The sequence below is a fragment of the Homo sapiens genome, chromosome 2, assembly GCF_000001405.40.
Source record: "Homo sapiens chromosome 2, GRCh38.p14 Primary Assembly".
NCBI classification, from domain to species: Eukaryota; Metazoa; Chordata; class Mammalia; order Primates; family Hominidae; genus Homo; species Homo sapiens.
The window spans coordinates 18,993,039-19,014,327 of NC_000002.12; the positions used below are offsets into that span (position 1 = coordinate 18,993,039).

General features: G+C 41.3%; 2 long non-coding RNA genes across 2 annotated transcripts in view; one reads left to right on the forward strand and one right to left on the reverse strand.

Moving 5' to 3' along the window:
• The window catches only part of LOC105373456 (uncharacterized), a 529,181-nt gene that overhangs the window by 432,863 nt on the left and 75,029 nt on the right, over window positions 1–21,289 (forward strand). The gene's annotated exons all lie outside the window — the stretch shown is intronic.
• The window catches only part of LINC01376 (long intergenic non-protein coding RNA 1376), a 40,521-nt gene that overhangs the window by 6,588 nt on the left and 12,644 nt on the right, over window positions 1–21,289 (reverse strand). Inside the window, exon 3 of the long non-coding RNA NR_135287.1 lies at window positions 2,281–2,326. This is a non-coding gene — a long non-coding RNA (long intergenic non-protein coding RNA 1376). The remainder of the gene's footprint in view (window positions 1–2,280; window positions 2,327–21,289) is intronic.

Genomic DNA, 21,289 nt, shown 5'->3' on the forward strand with positions numbered 1-21,289 from the left:
GTAATTTTTACTATTATATATGCTATTTATATAAATATAGGTGTAAACATGCACACACAAATTTAGTTATTTAATGATCTTTGGTGTGCTTAAGCCACAATTCCCCTGGTTTAGAATTATCACAAGGGAAGAAAGTGAAATGTCATGGGAAAACCATGTGTCTGAATGAGAAAAGTTTCAATCGAGGTCCTGACAGGTGTGTGACCCTGGCCATGCCATTCACCCTCTGTGAATCGTTATTTTCTTACTCTAGTAAAAAGAGGAGGGAAAATTTACAGATTTAAATTGAAATAATATACGAAAATATTAAAATAATCTAATTGTGTCTGCAGCACAATTGTTAGTTCATAATTAATCAATAAGTGGTAGATGTCTTTATTATCAAAAGCTAATTATCATTGTTGTTTTCATGGAAGTCTCAGAAATAACATCTGAAAAGCAGCCATTCACTTACTGAGGATTTCTACATGCAGAGTCGGCTACTGCGATTTCTGTTTTGCTTGGGCCTCATTTGGAGAACAGGGTCGGTTGTTCTCACTTTCTAGTGGTTGGAGAATATTCAAACTGATATCCCTTGTGGGGTAAGATCTTGGGGACAAATATTTCTTCTATTTCAAGGTTTCTTAAATTTCACATGTGATTTTAAAAAGCAAATAAGCCCCTTAATTGCTTCATTAAGCTAGTCAACACTAATTAAGAAAAGTCAAGTGGAAAAATATTAGAAACTGCTGTGCCTGACTTTAAGCCTCCTCTCTTTCTCCCAGAATATGTTTTGCTTTGCTGAGGAAAGGGAGTTTGTGATTTTCTGTGATAGAATCCACTCTGACCTCCTGGGTTCTGAGCTTGAAATTGAGCTTCAGTCTTTGGGGGTTGATCCTGTTTATTACTGATGAAACATGATTTCCCAACCCCATGAAAAAATGCCTAAGTGCCTTGTAAAGTAGCACAGGGGGTAACCCAAACTATTTTGATGAGTTAGAATTCAACAAGCTTGAAACATCAGTTTCTTCTCCTTTGATACAGCATAGGAGCTTAAGAACAGTGGGCAAGGGAGGTAGCTCAGTCTTGGAGTGGGAGCTCCATATGTGAATATGTGCATGTATGCATGTGTGTCTGCACCTTTGCGTTTGTGCACCTCTGTGCACATATGCGGTGTTGGGTATGCGGTAGGGAGCTTCTACTTGTCTGTAAGACAAATAGGTCCTGAATTCAGCCTTTTGCTCTTCTCCAAACTTTGGAGCAGTTATTTCTCTTAGTTCTGCTGAAGCTCATAAGAAAAGTGAGTTTTGTTATAGATTTTCCTAGAACTGACTAGGCCATATGTCTGGTTATATCAGCTCCTTTGGAATCTCTCAGATCTAGAGAAAATGATGAAGTAATTCCAGTAACCTGCCTTAACTCTCCTTTATTGTAGTAAATAGCTTCTATATATTGAGCACTTACTGTGTACCAAATGTTGTTTAGATATTTTATAACCATGGCCACATGTAATTCTCAGGGTAACTCCTCAAGATGCATATTATTATCTCTATTTAATTGATAAAGATATCAAGGCTAAGAGAAATAAATGGCTTATAGCCCCAGAGTTGGTAAGTTGTTGAGCAGGGATTAAAACCCCAAGATGCCTCCTGCAAACTCAGTCTGATTTCCTCTTTACCCCATTATTGAAAAGTCTCTCTTACTGTAATCCTCTGGGTCATATCAGAATCTTTCCTGGTCCCAGATGAGAAAAACTCAAATTCCTCTTCACTCTAAAAACACTGCTTGGTACAGTGTCTCTGCTAAGCCTGCTCAGCATGCAAACACCCCCTGAAGCTCCATGGTTGGCTTTACCCACAGCCTTCAGGAGCTCAGCACATGTCAAGCCCTTCAGAGGATTTTGGGCTGCTTAAGGGAATCTTCTGGATAAGCAAGAAATGTGGAGGACTTTGGGATTTGAGTCAGAAGGAATTTTGCCCATATTGACACTTGTGCTGGGGAGACCAGACCTGAGTTATTTAGGGTGATAGGTGATCTCCCTTTGGGGTGTCAGCTCCTGTGGATGGCCTTTCTCATCGACTATGGATGAGTGAAAAGGATAAGAACCTTGCCATCATCAGAATAAACTCAACAGAGACAAAACCATAAGACTCAGTCTATTTTGCAGGCATTGAAGCATGCTGTGACACTGTCATGCCAGACCCCTAATAACTTCAGTAGGGATGGCACTGGGTTCAAGAGGCTAGAGAAGAGACCTACAGCCAGCAAAAGAGGCCTATGGTTTTATTTGGGTGAACTTACATACAGGGATGGTCCAGTGGTGGCAGGCTGGACAGGAGAACCACAACTGCTGGCAAAAAAAAAAAAAAAATGCAGTTTATATAACATCCTCACTTAGCACCCTCTCCTCAGCAACCTCCACATGAGCACCCTCATTTCTTAAATAATTGTTGTCAGGTCCGTCTGCTATATGGGGTTATTCTCAGGGTAGACTTAAGTTATTGCTGTCAGGTGTGTCGACCATACAGGCACCAATTGCATGGGCTCATTTGAGGGATAAAAGCTCAGTATGTCTTGAATGAGGAAAAAGTGTAGAAGCCCTTGTTGGATGTATTGAGGAATCCCATTGATAGGCTCCAAAAGGGTTCCATTAACTCAGCACTGACCAGTCCTATGAGATTGTGAGTGTTCAGTCGGCTTGGTGAGGGATGGCAGTGGGCATCTTCTGCCTGTGGTGGGCATGCTTGTGGGGGTTGAGAGACCTGCCATCCATTAGACTCTTGTGTACTGAAGAGCTACCTCAGTTTCCTTTTGGCCCAGGACTAGCAGGCAAGACAATTCTAGATTTCTCTCATAATGGGTCTGAGCCAGTGGATAGTTCCCTTGCCTTGGACTGAGCAGGATGAAGTCTGCAGGGATGGGGTGGGAGCAGCGGCTGTAGCTCTGATGCTTCAGACACATGTACATTCTTATGAAAACAAATGATCTTTAGCCAGGAACTGAACACAGATAAACTAAGGCACAAAGTGTGCACAATTAAAAAGACCACAACTTTTGTGAAAATGCTGACTTTAATTAAAATAAGCAAATAAAGGAACAAACAACCCTTACATATTTCCTTCAATTTCTCAGTGTTCTGGAGATTCAGAGCAAGTGATTATGAGGCTAAAAAATTGTATCAGGTAGTTATCAAATAATTCCCATCAAGAATATGAGCTAGCATCATGAGATTCTTTCCCAACATCTTTAATGAGAGTAGAATGAGGTCTTTGTAACAACAAACAGCTTTTGATATTTCTGTGGGGGGCTATTGCTCTAACTGCTCACAAATCAAGGACGAGAAATCAAGTTTAAGTAAGAAGAACGTGTGATGAATGTTTGGGGAATTGAAGCATGCAACACAAATGAGCCTAAGGATACAGGTGTGAGAGGCTGTTGCAACCTAGGTCATAGTTCAGAAGGTGATCTATCCCAGAGCCCCTGCCAGTCAGATAAAGAATCCAGGCAAGCACAAGGCAGGATATTAATACTCCCAGATAAATGAGCTGAGAACTGTGGTCCTGGGGGGCCTGAGACACTTAACAAAGTAGGGGTTCATGACTAAGAAAAATACAAGGCCAGATCCCAGTTCTAGTGACAAGGTCAGAGAGAGTGGAGATGTCAGCAGAGTGACCTGGAGAGTACTAAGCCTCAGACCTCACTGTGTCAAAAAGTGATTAGAATCTAATGAGAGTGCCTGGGTATCAAACCCAGTCAATGGATACTAACAAGGGTTCATGATAGTCTGAGCTCCACTGAACTTCACTCTTCCCAAAGATTGAAGTGGTGGAAAGCTCCTGATAACTTTGCCAAGAGCAGAAATGGTGTGAGTCCTGGGTACCCTTAGGCTTCCTGGAAGCTCAGAGGATTGAGCCTTAAGAATATGAAGAGGAGAATGGTGTGAACCCGGGAAGCGGAGCTTGCAGTGAGCCGAGATTGCGCCACTGCAGTCCGCAGTCCGGCCTGGGCGACAGAGCGAGACTCTGTCTCAAAAAAAAAATAAAAATAAAATAAAATAAAATAAAATAAAAAAGAATATGAAGAGGGGGCCAGGCACAGTGGCTCACGCCTGTAATCCCAACACTTTGGGAGCCCAAGTGGGCAGATAACGAGATCAGGGGTTCAAGACCAGCCTGACCAACATGGTGAAACCCTGTCTCTACTAAAAATACAAAAATTAGCCGGGAGTGGTGGCACGTGCCTATTGTCCCAGCTACTCAGGAGGCTGAGGCAAGAGAATCGCTTGAACCCTGGAGGCGGAGGTTGCAGTGAGCTGAGATTGCGCCACTGCACTCCAGCCTGGGTGACAGAGCAAGACTCCACCTCAAAAAAAAAAAAAAAAAAAAATATGAAGAGGGTGGAAGATTTCGTATGTTAACACTCTGGAAAGTCATCACTCCCAGATTCTTTCCATGGAGGCTCTCTCGAAAGCAGAATGACCCCCATTCTAGAAGCAGAAGGTGAATATGGCAAAGGCCTGTGGAGGAGCTAGTGTGAAAGGAACTGACATGAGGACAGCTACCAACTGGAGTGAGAAAGTCAGGTCTCAGCTACAAGAGCACTAGCTGGGCAAGCGAGACCGGTAGGGCCTTCATCAGAAATGCCACCTATTTTGACATTTTGAGTCCAAAAATGTTCCTATGTACTACACTGAAGTGTGTCCCTGAAGGTGGCCCCAGAAATGGCCCAGATGAAGTCCTGGGAAGGCCGTGGAGGTCATCCTCTTTTGTTTCCTTCTTCAACTTGGTCCAATTACCTTGCTCTCCATTGAATTTCAAATTAGACCTTGTGTCTTCACACCTCAAGCCTTTACCCTAAGCCTTCTCTTTGCCTGGAATGACCTCTTTCCTCTCACATCATTCAATTTCCATCCCACCTTTGAAATAAAGCCTACCTTTCTTGCTATTGTGATTACTTTAGCTTGCAGTGACTTCTCCTGGCTCTAATATCTGAATCTTGTATTCAATAATCATTCTTTAGTAGGTTTTCCTTAGAAAGCCCACTGGACAAAAGTCAGATTCATATTAAACTACAGACTAAAGAGCAGGAAGAGCCCCTAGAGATCCCCTAGCCCTACTATTTCTGTTTAGGTGAGCAGGCAAAAATGTAGAAGGAAGTAGTGATTTCCTTAAAGTTACAAGAGAGTCAAAAGCAGAGAATGCATAAATCCATGTCTACTGACTCTCAATCTGGAATGTCTTCCATGCATTTTTTTAAATTTCTTTTATGCCTAAGTAGTTTAACTTGAGATGAAAATGCAATAAGAATCACATTTCCACAGAAGTGATAAGAAATTGATCAGGGCTCCTTTCTGATGTTTCAGCATGCTATGAGTCTCACGGAAGGTCCCTGTTTTTGCACCTCAGGGTGAATCATGGATTTCTGAATGGGCAGGAGGAAACTGAGGCTAAGTGAGGCTACCTCTGGAATCACTGGAAGTCCTCCCAGGAGGGAAGAGAAAGAGACCTATGACATCAACCTTGAGCTTTCCTTCTTTGTTCCTTTTATGGCCTTCCTCACTTTATGTGAGTTCTGGGATATGAAAGTGCTCAGGGGTAGGGAAAGCTGTAAATCCCCAGGGCCTTGCACTATAAACTTCATTTCCTCCCTTTATTGCAGTTAACTGCCCATGAACTCTATTAATATTTTGCAAATTGAGATCCCTAAAACACATGTTACTGTTAATTTTAACCTCATGCTAACTAGGATGTGGTCAAATTTTCACAACAAATTCCAAGGATATTTTGATATGCCTTGGAAAAATGCATTTAAAGGTGCCTCGGGGGTATATACTTTTTCTAAGTCTACACATTTTCTTTCAATTCTTGCTGTTTAGGAACAGGCAGAAGTAAACTGTCTTATGTGAGGAGGAGCAATAATACAAAGTGATTCAGTTATGATACGGGAGTGACAGAAGCCTCTAACAGACCAAGAGGGACAGTCAAGGAACATCAACTTTCTGAACTTACCATAGTAAAAATCTGATGTCAACAAAACTGTTACACACTTTTGCGTACAGGATCAATTTACTTAGAAACACTTCACCGTTCTATAAACACAATTCTTCCCTTAGGCAAAAGCCATGGGTTTTATAAATTTAATGAGACAAAAATGAATTTTTCCCACCTCCAGGATACCAAATACATTATCACAGAATAGTATCACAAGTGTGACCTCTAAATCTGATGAGCCAGAAGTAAGAAACTCCTTCCTTCCTTCTTTACTTCCTTCCTCCCTCCCTCCTTTCCTTCCTTCCTCCCCTCCTTCCTTCCTCCCTCCCTGTCTCCCTCCCTCCCTCCTTTCCTTTCGTTCCTTCCTTCTTTCCTTCCTTCCTTCCCTCCCTCCTTCCTTTCCTTCCTTCCTTCCCTCCTTCCCTCCTTCTTTCCTTCCTTCCTTCCCTCTCTCCCTCCTTCCTTTCCTTCCTTCTTTCCTCCCTTCCTTCCTTCCCTCCCTCCCTTCCTTCGTTCTTTCCTTCCCTCCCTCCCTCCCTTCTCTCTCTCTCTCCCTACCACTCTGCTGCCTCCTTGCTTCCCTCTCTTCCCCTCCTCTCACCTCTCCTTCCCTACCTTTACTTCCCTACCTTTTCTTCTTTCCTGCCTTCCTTTCTCCCTTTCTTCCTTCTATTTACTCATCAAATATTTTCTGAGTACCCATGTTGCCAGGAATTGCTCTAGCCATTGCAGATTCACTGATAAACATATCCCCGGAAAACATTAATCAATGATTTCACCTCTGAGATGGGTACTCTTCCCCAAGAACATCAATCTATTCATGGCATGCATCTTACAGAAAGACAGGAGAAAATGTCCAGCTATAGAAAATAAAGCAGTGGCCATTCTATGAATCATTGAGTCGACAAACTTCTGCTTTTTTAGTTTGTTTCCCCAAATGATTCTCCACTTTCTCTCAATCATAATGGTAAGTTGAAGTTCACCCAAATCCTTATTGCCTCAAATAAGGAGATGGTGTGGTATAGTGACATCATTTTTGTCCTCACAACCAATTATTCTGGGAAAGATGAGGGAGTGCAGAGCCATTGGAGAGAAGGACATCCCCCTTCCTCTGCCTCCTGCCCTTCTACAATGCCAAGTCACACCTGGACCTAAAGGGGAGACACTCCTCTTCCATATATGTACAATTGATCTTACTCTTCAACTTCCATTGCTTTCACTCCAATTATTTCTTACCCTTGATTCTAATATAGGTGGTAGCATTCTCAATACCTAAGTGCCAACTTCTCTCAATACATTCAATAGGAATTCAATTATTTAGGGAGTAGAGCATCTCCTGAGGAAAAAGTAAATATTCTTCCTACCCTTCCCTACCCTCTTTGTGAAATAACCATGCTTTCTCCTTATGATCAGGGTATATTACAACTGCCAGTGCATGAACTATTTTCTTTGCCGGCTGGTCTACTGGTACAGTGGGCCCAAATTGATCAGCAGTGGTCATAGCTTTAAGTTAATGAGTCCTGTATCTCCTGGTAGAAACAGCTCTCAGAATCTAAGGTTTCAGGAACAAAAAACAGAAATCTCCCAAGTAGGTCACTGGGAGTAATGGTGAGTCCAGCCCCAAGAGTTCCGCCAGAGGAATCAATAATAATAATTCATTCTTCTTTTGAGAAAGCCAAGATCCCATCTTGTACCCTCAGCCCAGTGATTTCCTGGGCAACAGATACCCCAGCCCCACAGAAGGGCTGCTGAGGGCTGCTGCAGGGCTGGCTGAGATGCACATGAAGCTCTGCCCGAGAAAGAGAGAGAGAGAGAGATCCTTGAGAGTCCACAGCTGTGTGGGGATCTGGGCTTTGAGCCCCCTCAGCTGAAGTCAGCAGCCCCCGGAGTGTCTCAAACCTGCTGCTGGCCTCAAAGCTCAACTTGCTTGGCCAAGGCCCCATATCACTGTAGGACATCCAGGGCTTCAAAGGAGGGCCCCTCAGAGCAGCCTCCTCCTCCAAAACACTTCTTGCCAAAGCACAGCTGAAGCAGGCTTGAAGCTAAATATTTGGATTGAAAGGGAGGGAGAATGCAGCCCCTCTGAGGGGTATTTTACCCAAGCCATTGGGAGAGAACCACCTCCCAGCGCAGGCATGCTGAGCCCCACAGCATTGAAAAGCACTGTAATCGCTGTGCAATCAGCTGTACCATGTGCCTGCAAACCTTGCAGAAACACAGGCCCTGCAATGTACACAGTGATTCCCAGTCTGCTTCCTTCATCTCATTTCACCCTCTTCATGACCTTCAGAAGCTGCAGGATGCAATGGCTCTCTTCTTTGTATATGCAAAAATTGAGCATCTCCACAATGGAAAAATGACCTTCTCAATGTTGAATACGAAACAAGGGCTTAAGACTGGACTCTAAGTTGGGCCTTCTGAAGGCAGGATTGACGCCTTCCTTATCAATCCAGGGTTTCTGTTGAATAATAATAATGCCAAACATCAGTACACAATGCTGTAGGGAGGTAGACAGAGCATGGTTTTTGGAGAGAAAAGAACAGAGCTGAAGGTTCCATTCCAGCCTTTGTCAGTTCTGTGACCCCAGGCCTGTCATGGTTGACCTTATTGAGCCGCAATGTCATCTGGAAAGTGGACACAATAATGAGATTCCTCCCTACTCCCATCACTCGACTGCACTGGGGGTCACCTGAGCCAGTGTGCATTTAAAAAGTCCTTTCCACCTGCATGTGCTGTGAACCTGGGAATGATGGTAATGGTGATTATGCCAAAGAAATGAACATCACAGCCTGAAAGAAACTGGGGGCAGAAGAGATCTTCGACATCTTGCCTAGCCCCTTCATTTTATACATGTAAAAACTAGTTTGTCTAAGTCAACCTAGGAAAATAGTAGCAAAGCCAAGCTTAGACCTCCAAGACCTGTCCTGTATCATTACCCTTCTTTTTTTTCTTCATGTTCCCGAACACTTAACAAGCACATTTATTCTCTGAGGGAGTAGATAGGAGAGATGATATGTCCCAAGTTTATGGGTGAGGAAATTATGACACAAGGGTTACAAGAATTACATCAAATGGCATGATGAGTAAGGAGTGGCCTGGGTTTCACTCTTAATTTGGCCAAAGTAATTTTATTTCAAAATGAAAAACAAAAACAAAACCACTACACTCACACCAAACATTTGCCATCCAAACTGGTCAAAGGGCTGCGTTTATACAGCTCTCCAACCATTGCAGGGATCCCTTTTACAACATCCCCGTCACTTGGGCAGCTCACCTTTGCTTAATGAACTCCTGTGTGGTCCTCATCAGACAAATAATTTCATCATTAAATAATCTTTATTTCAAGCAAATATTTACCAATTGCTTGCTATATGCAGGGGACTAGAAGTATTGATGGCTAGAAAGCTCTCCCACGTGCTGGAGCAAAATCTGCCTCTCCCTCACTAGTAGTCATTTCACCCTCCGACTTTACTACAATGGTCCCGTATGACTTTGCTATAGAATTTGACGATGCTAACCATTCCCTTCTTCCTAATGCTCTCTCCTTCCTTGTGTCCTGGTAATCAGGCTCCATATTCTATACCTCTGATTCTTTTTAGTCTCTTTCACTGGCTACCCTTCTTCTCTCTTAGTTCATAAATATCAGCATTCTGGACAGGACTGATTCACAGTCTCAGAGACATGACTCCCAAATATAAATCTGCCCAGACCTCTTTACTGAGCTGCAGACCTGTACATCAAACAGCTGTAAGACATCTCCATTTTGATGTCCCACAGGCATCTCAAATTTGGCATGTCTAAAATGGAACTTCCATCCTCTAATCCCCTAGAAACCTCCTCTCTCCTGTATGCTCTTTCTCTCTATCCTGTATACTCTATTATTCCCCATTTGAGCCAAAAACCTAGACGTCGTCTTTATTCCCCCCTTGCCTTAGCGCACCTCCTAACTCCTTAGATCTACACCACACCACCTCTTGAACCTGCCCTTTCTTCCACACCCACTCCTATTGGTTTAGGTTGGACTCCATTTTAGTTCTCCTATAGTATACAACAGCCTTCCAGTTTCCACTGTGGATTCCTTGTAATTAACTCAACACAATAGCACTAAAGTGTTCTCTCTAAAATGTGATACATTTGGTCACGCTTTCCCCACTAAAAACCAGCCAATGGTGCTCCTCCATCAAAGGATAATGTCCTGATTTTATATGATGGGCTAAGGAGTCCCTAATGATCCAACCCCTGCCTACTTTCCAGGCTCATTTCCATTTGCTTCCTGCAAAGTTCTCTGAGGTCCTCTCACAGTAAAGTCTAGGTATTTCCTTAAACATGCTGTGCTTTCTCTGGCCTCTGGTCCTTATCAAAGTCTTTTTTAACTCCCAGATGTTCTTCCCTTCAAAGGATACATTTGATTATTTCCTGCTATCTTTGTGATGCCTTCCCTATCCCCAGCTAGGTAGAGCTGGTCTCTTTCCATGACATACCTTGGCCATAGAATAATCTTATATAACATAGCTGGTTGCTGTGTGTCCCTTTACCTCACAGTGAGCATCTAGATAGTGCATACTCCTTTTTATTGGTTTCTGTATTCTACTGCTTAACACAGGCCTGGAATACAGTAGGTGCTCTGAAGTTTTTTGCTAAATTAAATAAATGAATGTATGGATATTTTCATTTCATGCATCTGCACTATTTCACCTTCTCAAGCTTGCCCTAAAGTGGTTTGCTATGACATTTTTTATAGTCATCCAGCCAGCTGAACCAGATTTTTATCATTTAAGTGTAACTAGAAAAATCTTTCTATTTACAGCAAGCAATTCAGTGGAGACTTGAGTGACCCAAAGAAACTGGAAGACAACTAAACTTTTAAGTAGGGTGTTATCTCCTCTTCACTAATTCCTACTCCCCAGCATGTCATGTCTGAAAGGGGACTGTTGCCCTGCCTTTGTATCCCTACTACAACCCTAGAAAAATAATGGCTGCAAAGGGACATTCACTTTCCATGGCTTCCCTTCTTTTTCCTGACAATTCCTTTTCTCTATGTCACCAAAGTCATCATTAGTGAGTATTGCCTGTTTGCTTGAGCTGTTTTTGTTTTTTTTGTTGCCATTTACGATCTCAGATTTATTTCCAACTAAATTATGATCAGCTTAAGATTGGAAGAAGAAGATGTTTTTCTACATTATTCTGTCCTCTGGCCTACAGCAACATTCAGAAGGTGTGCCAAGAAAAAAAAAAGTTTGCATTGGATTTGGTTTAGTTTTGGTCGAGTTCTAGCTAGATTCTTGTTATGATGTTCCTGTTATACCTGCTGACCTACTGTGTGGTTAAATGTCATAATGTAAAACATTAAGCAACATTTTTTTTCTCCTTCTATTTACCCCTCATCAACTTTTACAGTTAAGACCATTCATCACAGGGACTATTTCTCATGGTGGGATCAGAGAGCAGAGGAGACAATTCTTATCTGTTAAATTTTAAAACATTGATGTTAAAAGACAGAGAGAGGTACAAAGCAAATGTGTTTGTAAGAATTCAGATCTCCTGTCCTCTCCACTTAACCCCAGACAATCTGGACACCCACAAACTGGGGAGGAAAGAAGGATTAGAGAAAGTCACTGGATTAGATATTGGCCTATGACCTGCCTTCCACCCTGAGTAAGCTCCCGGGAAAAGAGAGACACAGAAACTCCCCATATCAGTCTGAGCATTTCATGGCCATCTTCACCTTCCTCCCAGAAAAAAAAATGGTGCATAGCTGAAAAGAAAGCAAGGGTTGGAGAGAAGCTTTGGATAGCATATGATGCCTGAGCAGGCACAGCGGCTCTGTGAGGCACACAAGTCAGCGAGCAGCCTCCCCAGGCTCTGCGGGTCCTGGGTGGCATGGAGAGAGGAGCTAGGATCTAATTTTCTGTGTTCCAAGAGGGAGTGGGAGCCAAGGGCTGTGTGCTTCAGTGACGTAGATTAGATGGCTGGTCACATAGCAAAACGTGGGCTGGCCTTGCTGCCACTGATAGGAGCTCAGGCCCCCTCTCTGTGGGCCAATATTAGGAAGGTGCATGCATCTAACAATGATAAAGCAACAATATTCCAATATGGTACCACAGGACCTAGACCAAGATGGAGATGAGTCGACCTCTCCCACCACCAAAACAAGGTTGTAGTTGCATAAGTCTCTGACTTTCCCACTTATTCCCACCCTCCCCCGTGCACTGCTCTGCATCTCACACCAGAGCTACCATTTCGTCTCAACACTAGGGAGAATGATAATGAAGGAAAAATAGTCTTGCTGAGGAATAAATTTTCAACCTGAAGTGCTCCCCCTAACCAAAACAACAACAATAAAAAACTGAATTTGATCAAGTTTCTTCTATAATGTAAAGATTTATGTTTTACTGAAGAAGTCAAATTGTGGACAAAAAATTCAAAATTATATTGATAACTTGTAGAATATAACGATGGCAATAGTTTGCACACCTAAACTTGTAATTATGAAGTTCATATATTTTACATACAAATGGAAGATTAGGTGGGACAACCAGTATGGGTCTGAAATTCTTACAGTGAATCTCCTTTCTCTGCAGCAAAACTTCCCAACCACTCAAATTTAAGTCTGGATTCATTTTTGACCCCATTCCTCCATGACCTACATTAGTTAACCACCAAACCCTGGTAATTTCACCCACACAGTATATTTCTATACTTCCTGTCTACTTCATCCCTACTGTCACTCAGTTGGGTCAAGCCTTTGTCATTTCTTAATATTAAAATATTTTAAGTTGGTCTCGTTGCTTCTAGTCTTCCCCTGACCCTGCACTTATTTCCAGAATAACTTAAGAAAGGAATGATATGGTTCCAGAACTCCACATAACACTCTCCAGCATCCACAGATTTAATTTCAATCTCCTTCACCTGACACTGAAGTCCACCCATAGTGAGGCACTCTACGAATGGGGAAGACACATTGCCTGACACAAAGCACAGGTGTTAAGAGCTCAGCTTTGCAGTCAGACGTCTCTGGCTGTGTGAATTTAACACCATTTAACCTCATTAAGTCTCAATATTCATATATAAAGTGGGGAAAACAGTTCATGTGATCACAGAGATGATGGTGATCTCATGTCTAGCATAGGGTCCAACACCTTAGTAAGTGTTCCACAATTTTCCTATTGATCAAAAGTATGTATTACTCCATTGCTGGCCAATACAAATCAGCTTTCATTATGGCTCCATGGCATGGCCTAACCCCCTCTCACACCCACCTCTCCCTCAGTATCCCTCCCTGGGCAGCAGAATCAGATTCCACGTGCTTCATTATGTTTATGCTGACAACTTGGCCAAGATTGTCCATCAACACAGAACACTTTGAGCATAACATTTTTATCTCTTGACTTTGACCCTGAAGTCTTCGAATAAAATTATTTCCTTCCGAATTTTGTCAACACTGTTGAATTTCCATTGAAGAAACATTTTCTTGAGTGAAATCCAAGCTGATTAAATTATTAATCTGTATATTCCATTTTTATCTGCATTTTAAATTATTTTCAACTGATCAGTTAATTATCTCTAAGTAATACAATTAGGGTGTATCTATTTTTTGTCAATAACAAACATCATGTATCATTTCTAAAATCATGGATTTTTTGTGGTTACTATTTCCATTATTGCCAGTTTTCCTGGGTTGTATTTCATAGCCTACTTGATTCTTCTCTTATCAACAGATTTTTATCAACTCTATATTTGTATCCTTTGTCAGTTTTGTGTTTTGATTACTATTTGTACTGGTAATATGTTTACACATTGGAGAAGATCCTGTGGATGTTTTTTTGTTTTTTTGTTTTTTTTGTTTTTTTGAAACAGTCTCGCTCTGTCACCCAGTCTGGAGTGCAGTGGCGGCGATCTCCGCTCACTGCAAGCTCCGCCTCCCAGGTTCATGCCATTCTCCTGCCTCAGCCTCCCCAGTAGCTGGGACTACAGGCACCCACCACCACGCCCAGCTAATTTTTTATATTTTTAGTAGAGACGGGGTTTCACCTTGTTAGCCAGGATGGTCTCGATTTCCTGACCTCGTGATCCACCCACCCTGACCTCCCAAAGTGCCGGGATTACAGGCGTAAGCCACCGCGCCCGATTGGATGTTTATTTTTTAGATAATCCATAGAAAAGTAAATGAGGGCAATTTTTGAGAAATGCTTAGAGGGAGAAATGCCAGCAAGAAATGCTAAGAAAGAGAGAGAGCTGAATAGATAGAAAAAGAGATATGGGGGCAGGAAAGGGGAAGAAGATTCTCCTGAGTTCAAGTTCCACAGAAACACCAAAAGCAAGACTCCTGGGTGAGTGATTTTATAAAGAAATCTTCCCAGGGTGGACCAGTAAAGGAGAGGAGGGAATTTTTTATATTTACAAAAATGTTGAAAAGGCATCTGAAGGGATCTACAGGTAGGGTTGCTAGATATAGCAGCTAAAATGGAGGACTCCCAGCTACATCTGATTTTTAGATAAATAATCAGTAATTTTTAAATGTAAGTATGTCTTATGCAAGATTTGTTGTTTATCTAAGCTTTAAATTTAACTGACATTATCCACTACCACAGCACAAGAGACGGAGTGTGGAGGAGGGAAGAGGGCCCAGCCACTCTTATATCCTGGTTGCTGAGTTCTTAAATGCACATGGGAGTTCAAAGCAATTTGAGGGCCAAACATTGGGATCATAATGGATGGTAGAAGCACCCTATTCCAATGTCATTTGCCCCTCTCCCAAATCTTCAAGTCCAGCTTCAGCTGAGGGTAATTCTTAGACACACTGTGATCTTTAAACACACATACACACACACACATTACCGCCACCAACACCACCACCACCAACAATGTATTGACTTCGAAAGTAATGAATGCCATTTTAGAAAATTTAGAAAATACACAGAGTATTTATTAAAATAGATAAAAGATAATTCATTATTACTAGAATGGTGCATTTTTTCATTCTTTTTTCTAGGAATTCTATGTATTTTTGTATGTATCACTAGTATTTTTTTCTTTTCACGTTTTTTTCAAAACTGGGACAACACTCTAAATATTGTTTTAAATCCTACTTTTCAAAATTAACATTATTATGAGAACTTCCCATCCTTAAGTGTAATTTGAAAACATAAATTTTAATGTGTATTTTATCACATGGATAAATTATAATCTATTTATAAACTCCATTATTTTGGACACAGGTTATTTATAATTTGTGGTTAATATAAACAACACTGTGGATAACTACATAAATTTTTATCAGCAAAGCTTATCGCCTTACTCCTCAAGCACCTTACACTCCATTGTGGACCTATTTTGCCAACCACTAGCTGGAAAGGTAGAGAGCTGTTTCATTACTCAATGCAACAGTTTTTCTATCAGGATAAGATTGTTTTCACTAACCACAAAAATAATATTCAGGTATGAATTGGAGAGTCAATTTATATCTTCAAATCTCTAAAGGTTGTTAAAAGAAAATAAGAAACAACAAGAACAAAATATTCTGGGTGGATCTGAAGGTAGAAAAAGACCCAACTGAAGAGTTATGGGCAGGCAGATTTTAGTTCAACATGAGCAAAGGCATCCTGAAATCTCTGTGAAGCAATAGAAATGGCTCCCTTGAGTGACAGCTCTGGCTCATGTATAGGGAGCAGAATGGAGACCTATCCTTGGAGAAGTGGCAGAGCACTGTGGCTGAGGGCAGGGACTCTGGAGCCAGAGGGTTGGGTTTTAACCCAAGTAATATGGCTTGAGTGTTGTGTTACCTCCAAATCTCATATTGAAATGTGATCCCCAGTATTGGAGGTGGGGCCTAGTAGGAGATGTTTGGGTCATGGGGGTGGACCCCTTATAAATGGCTTGGTGCCATCCTCATAGTAATCAGTTCACAGGAGAGCTGCTTGTTTAAAGGACCTTGGCACCTCCTCCTCGTCCTCTCTTGCTCCCACTCACCACGTGGTACTCTAGCTTCCTCTTTGCCTTCCACCATGATTGTAAGCTCTCTGAGGCCCTCACTAGAAGCAGATGGTGGCACCATGCTTTCTGTACAGCCTGCAGAACTGTGAGCCAAAATAAACTTCTTTTCTTAATAAATTACTCAGTCTTGGATATTAATTTATAGCAACTCAGAACCGACTAACACACCCAGCTCTGCCATTTTCTGACTGTGTGATCTGGGGCAAGTGGTATAACTGCTTTGGGCTTTAGTGTCCTTATATGTAGAATGGAAATTATTCCTAATGGTAGTTGTAAGGATTAGATGAAAAATGTCTGTGTAGTGCTAGAACTGTCCTAAACATTCAATAAATGTTAGCACTTGTTTTAAGTGTTGTTACTGTAGACAAGTTTGATTAGGCAATATAATTGGATAACAGCTCGCAGAATTTGGGAATCTATACTGATTCTCCCAGTGTGACTGTACTGCTATAGTGATGTCACTCCAATAGACCATCCTGGCATTCTCCAGGGTACACTCTGGTTCTGTTTGTTTCCAGATCTGAGCCTCATTATTTACCTTTTTATGAGTAAAAATAACTTCAGTGCCCTTCATTTTGCAAGCCACGATGGAGGCCAACTCTAGCTTTGTAGCTTATCCATACTGGAATCAAATAGCTGCCTCGTAAAAGGAGTGTTGCAATCTTTAAATGCCCATAAATAAGGATTTGAACATTTATCTCACATCATGTGATTTGGTAAAAGTAAACAGAAAGTCTTTTAGTGGAAGAGTGGAAGTGATGATGAGTGAAATGATATAAAACAGGAGGGTTAGGTTGAGAATGTGTGTGAACCGTAAATAGATGAAGGAGAAAAGTGTGGTTGGTACAAGAAAAGTCAGCTTTCTGCATGGCAGGCAAGGCCAGTTCACAGATGCTGCCAGCTAAAAGAGAATGACCTGCAGAAACTCAGTAAATAGAGAAGGCTCAGTAGCCTCCTCTGTTTATGTTACCCCTAAAAACTTCCCATGTCTGCTCTGCGACCTCCCTCCCATAAGTAGCCAGGAGGATATATTAAAATAAGGAGTTATCTTCCATTTGGAAAACCAAAGCTTAATTGGAACCAGGACTGAAGTCCATGGGACATGGCGGGCTTCAGAAAATATAATCAACTGCTGACTCACTGAAGCTGGATTGAGGAAGGTAGAACACTAGAGCCAGACATGCCCCCAAACTGCCAAAGATTACAGGCAACAGAGGACCCATGTTACAGAGTAGAAAGTGAATATTGGAAAATTGTTTAAAAGACGGCTAATTGTTGGAAATACAAGTAAAATTGTTGAAAATAAAAGCTCAGAGAATGCATTAGTAGCAGACTACACCATGGGGAGTAGACAATAAGGACTGGAGAGGCTGAGGAGGACAGGAGCAGTAAAGATAGGATAGAAGACACCTTGGTATGATCACGTTTCTCTGAAAAGTCCCCTGCAGCATCTCTTTGTACCATGTATCCCAATACTGCTTAGAATGAAGAAAAGAGGATCAAATTCACTTTCAAAGATCCACAAACTTACCAGGGCTTCTGAAAGTGACATCTCTTGTCCAAAATCCTAGAAACCCTTAGCCCTAAAGTATGGATTGTTCACAAGGAATCTTTATAGTCTCTTATTTTGTTAGTGCTCAGAATGCTGAAATGCCTAAGAGATTGCAGTTGGGATTTTTTTCCAACTATACCCTCAATGGATGGGTTTGGCATGATGGCTGGTGAAAAGAGACCACCTGTTGGCCACTTAAGCTATCAGCTCCCATGACTAGCACCAACTCATGATAAGAATTCTACACTTTATTTTGTCCTGGAGTTTTGTCATAAATATATATTAGAAAAGGCTTAGAATTTTTTTAAGTAAGCTCTAGATCAACATATGTATTGTAAGCTTAAAATCCACCTCACTCTTAGAGACTTTCTTCTAGAAAATACCTAAGAGTTAGATCATGGAATCTGATATATCTTCAATTAAGGATAGTTCTAAAATCTAGGAGAGGGGCTAAAGTCAAGTGACCCCAACAGACCATGAAAAGATGGGGAGGTGAACAAGAGAAGACCATGGCAAAAGTGGTCATGATAGAGTGGACCAAATCCATGAAATGGTTGAAGAGCTCTTTGCTGAGGTTGGTAGAAACATAGGGAAGATGGTTATGGGTGATTCAGGAGTGATCCCAGAGAAACGGAGGACAAAATGGCAGTACTGGGCATGTGTTTGTTGTTGTTGTTTTTCTTAGCCTCAGATTCCCAGTTTGCTGAGCCAGACTTGTCTAAACCACATTAATAACTACAGTCATTCTTTCCTCTTCTTGTTGAGGTTAACCATTGATGGGTTCTAGTTAGCCTCCCTCCAACCCTCAAAAAATCAGTGGCACATTTAATGGGTACTTTCCTTCTTGAGAGGTAACTCTGGGAACTTCTCCCACCAAGTGAAGAATGCTGGAAATAAATTTTAAAGGAGGCAGAGAAGATTGCTAAAGACATTGTGGGTGAAAATAGTGGGATTAGACTGCGGCACTAGTATAAGCTCCTTTCAGTTTAGTTCGACCACTTATTTTAGACCTACTGGTATCCCAAGACTGTGACAGCCTTAATGATTCTGACATGAATAACAACAGCAACAGTTTCACTCAGCATCTTTATACTCTAAAACTTCTTGGGACATATGTCCTTTCAAGTATTCCCACTTTTAAGAGAAATTAAAATGTGGCAGGAAGACCATGGGCTTAATAGTGAATCCAAATTTTGCTACTACTTAACAATATGAATCTAAGCAAGTTACCTCCTCACTTTGAGACAGTGTCTATATTTGCAAAATATGGATTATATATATATATTTTAAATTATAGTTATGAAGGTTAACTATAATGTCTATAAAGCATCTGGCAACTTTTCATGCTCACAGTAGGTGTTCAGTCAATGGTGGTAATCATCATTGCTGCTGGTTTCCCTGTGGGCCCCTAAGCCCATCTGCTGCTGCTCTTGCCACCTCTAAAGCTGCTCTTGCCATTGGAACTGCCATTACTCTTGTTTTTGCCATCACTCAAAGGTATCCCAAATCTTGGAATAGTTATCCTAGGAATTATAGTCACTGATGAGATTTTTTAAAAGGCTTTCTGGGCTTTCAGGTATTATCATCCAACAACACAAAAACTTGAAATGAGTTATCAGGAATCTGCTTCAAGGATAGCCAAGTGAAATTGCTGTATTTCATCTCAAGCATATTTTTTTTCTCTGAAATTCCAGTGTTTCAAAATAGGGCCTCTGAACCTTACTTAATTCTCTTCCAGTTCAAAATGAGTTTACTAATTTCTAGGACTTCCTCAAACACTAAAGCAGATTTTTGCCTTCTTTTGTTTCAAGATTGTAACCCCAGTGACCTAGGGTCCCAATACTCAATCCCCGGACCTCCTTTAAACCATTTCTTCCAGATACCTAAATCTTAATAAAAATTCTAGTAGCATGCAGTATGTTCCTGAATTTCTCTGGTTTAAACAGAATATTTCCTAATCCTTGCCATTGTGCCCCTCCATACCTGTGTGAGGTTCTACAGATAGAAACATGAACCATACTCTAGCCTCATTCCTGTGCTCACTATTCAGTGGCTGCATCAAATACTCACCGACTACATTACAATTGATTTACCGCATGTGTCAAAGCACAGTTGATTATAGGTTCCCAACAGGGATCAAGAAGGAAAAGGTAAATCAGGAAAGGGCTCATTAAGTAGGAGCCATTTGAGTAATCTTGGGGTAAGATTTTATTGGCCAGAAAAGTATGACGGTACTTTCAGCCTTAGGGATCAAAATGCACAAAGCCATAATTCAAAATTTCATGGCACATTATAGGAAATGGCAAGTGTTTTTGTAATGAAGGAGCATAGGATGTTTGCAGAAAAGTTATTGAGATGAGCTTACAAATAATAGTTGAACATAGACTGAAGAGGGCCTTGAGTGCCATAATAATGAGGTAGTCTTTTCAGCAGTGAGGACTTAATAGGTTTTGAGCAAGATAGTGATGTGAGGAATGTAGGAATCAGAAGGGAACTTTATAAAATAGTTATTGTCCAAGATGAAATGAGAGTCTAAATTGGGTGGGAAAAATAAAAGAAAGATTCTTAGATAATGCAGTTTTGAGCTTACTCTTGAAGAAAGATATAACTGAATTTAAGAGACAGTGGTGACTGGGGGAGAGAAGTTTTCTACAGCAGGCATAGTAATTGTAGTTGTTATTTTGCAGTGTCTTCTTTGTTCCTATGTTCCTCACTCTTGCTATGGTCATGTCTACTCTTAGGGCATGGAGTGGACACTCTGAGTAGAGTTTGCAGTTTTCATACATGACTCCTGGAAAGAGGTGGAAAATAAGATTGGCCGGGGCTGGAATATGTTATTTCTTTATGAGAAATAAAATGAACTCGGAAGCTCCACGAAGGTGGATGGGAATGGAAAAGCTGTTGGAGAAGGAATGAGCCTAGAGGATTCAATGGGACCAAGACTCTGGGGAGGCTGGAGCCAGGGAGCAGGTGAGAGCCAAGATGAGCAAAATTTGATACTTTCATGGGGGTAAAAATAAAAAGAAAGTGGGTTCTATGACAATGATTCTTCCTACTATGAGCCATTCAGAGCAGGAAGTCTGTCTCCACTGTCACAGCCTTTGGCACCCAAGCACAAGGGCCAATAATTATTAGTCCAGAAATGAAATAAAACCAGGAGAAATAACTAAATATTAGCTTTATCTTAAACATACAGACACCAAAATCATGGCAGAAGTTCAGTCTAAATTGCTATGAAAGGAGGCTATATAATTATCACAAAAAAAGTGCCACAGCAAAAACTGTCTCAGGATTCCAGTAGAAATCATCTCCGGAGCCATCTTATGAACTACCATTCTTTATAGTCATCCCTGGCTTTTGAGCCCAACGTGGTGCCTGGTCTATGTCTTGACTGTGGTAACAGATACACAAATCTAAACAAGTGATAAAATTACAAATAACTAAACACACACACACAAACACACACACACACACACACACACACACACACACACATGCACGTAAGTACAACTAAAACCAGGGGAGTTTGAATTAGACAAGTAGATAGTACCAATGTCAATATCCTCGTTGTGATAGTTGTATTATGGTTTTGTAAGACATTGTCATTGGGGAAAACAGAGTAAAAAGTGCCTAGAATTTCTGTATTCTTTCTTTTTTTTTTTCTTTTTTTTTGTTTTTTTTTTTTATGAGACAGAGTTTCGCTCTTGTCCCCCAGGCTGGAGTACAATGACACAATCTCGTCTCACCGCAACCTCCGCCTCCCAGGTTCAAGCGA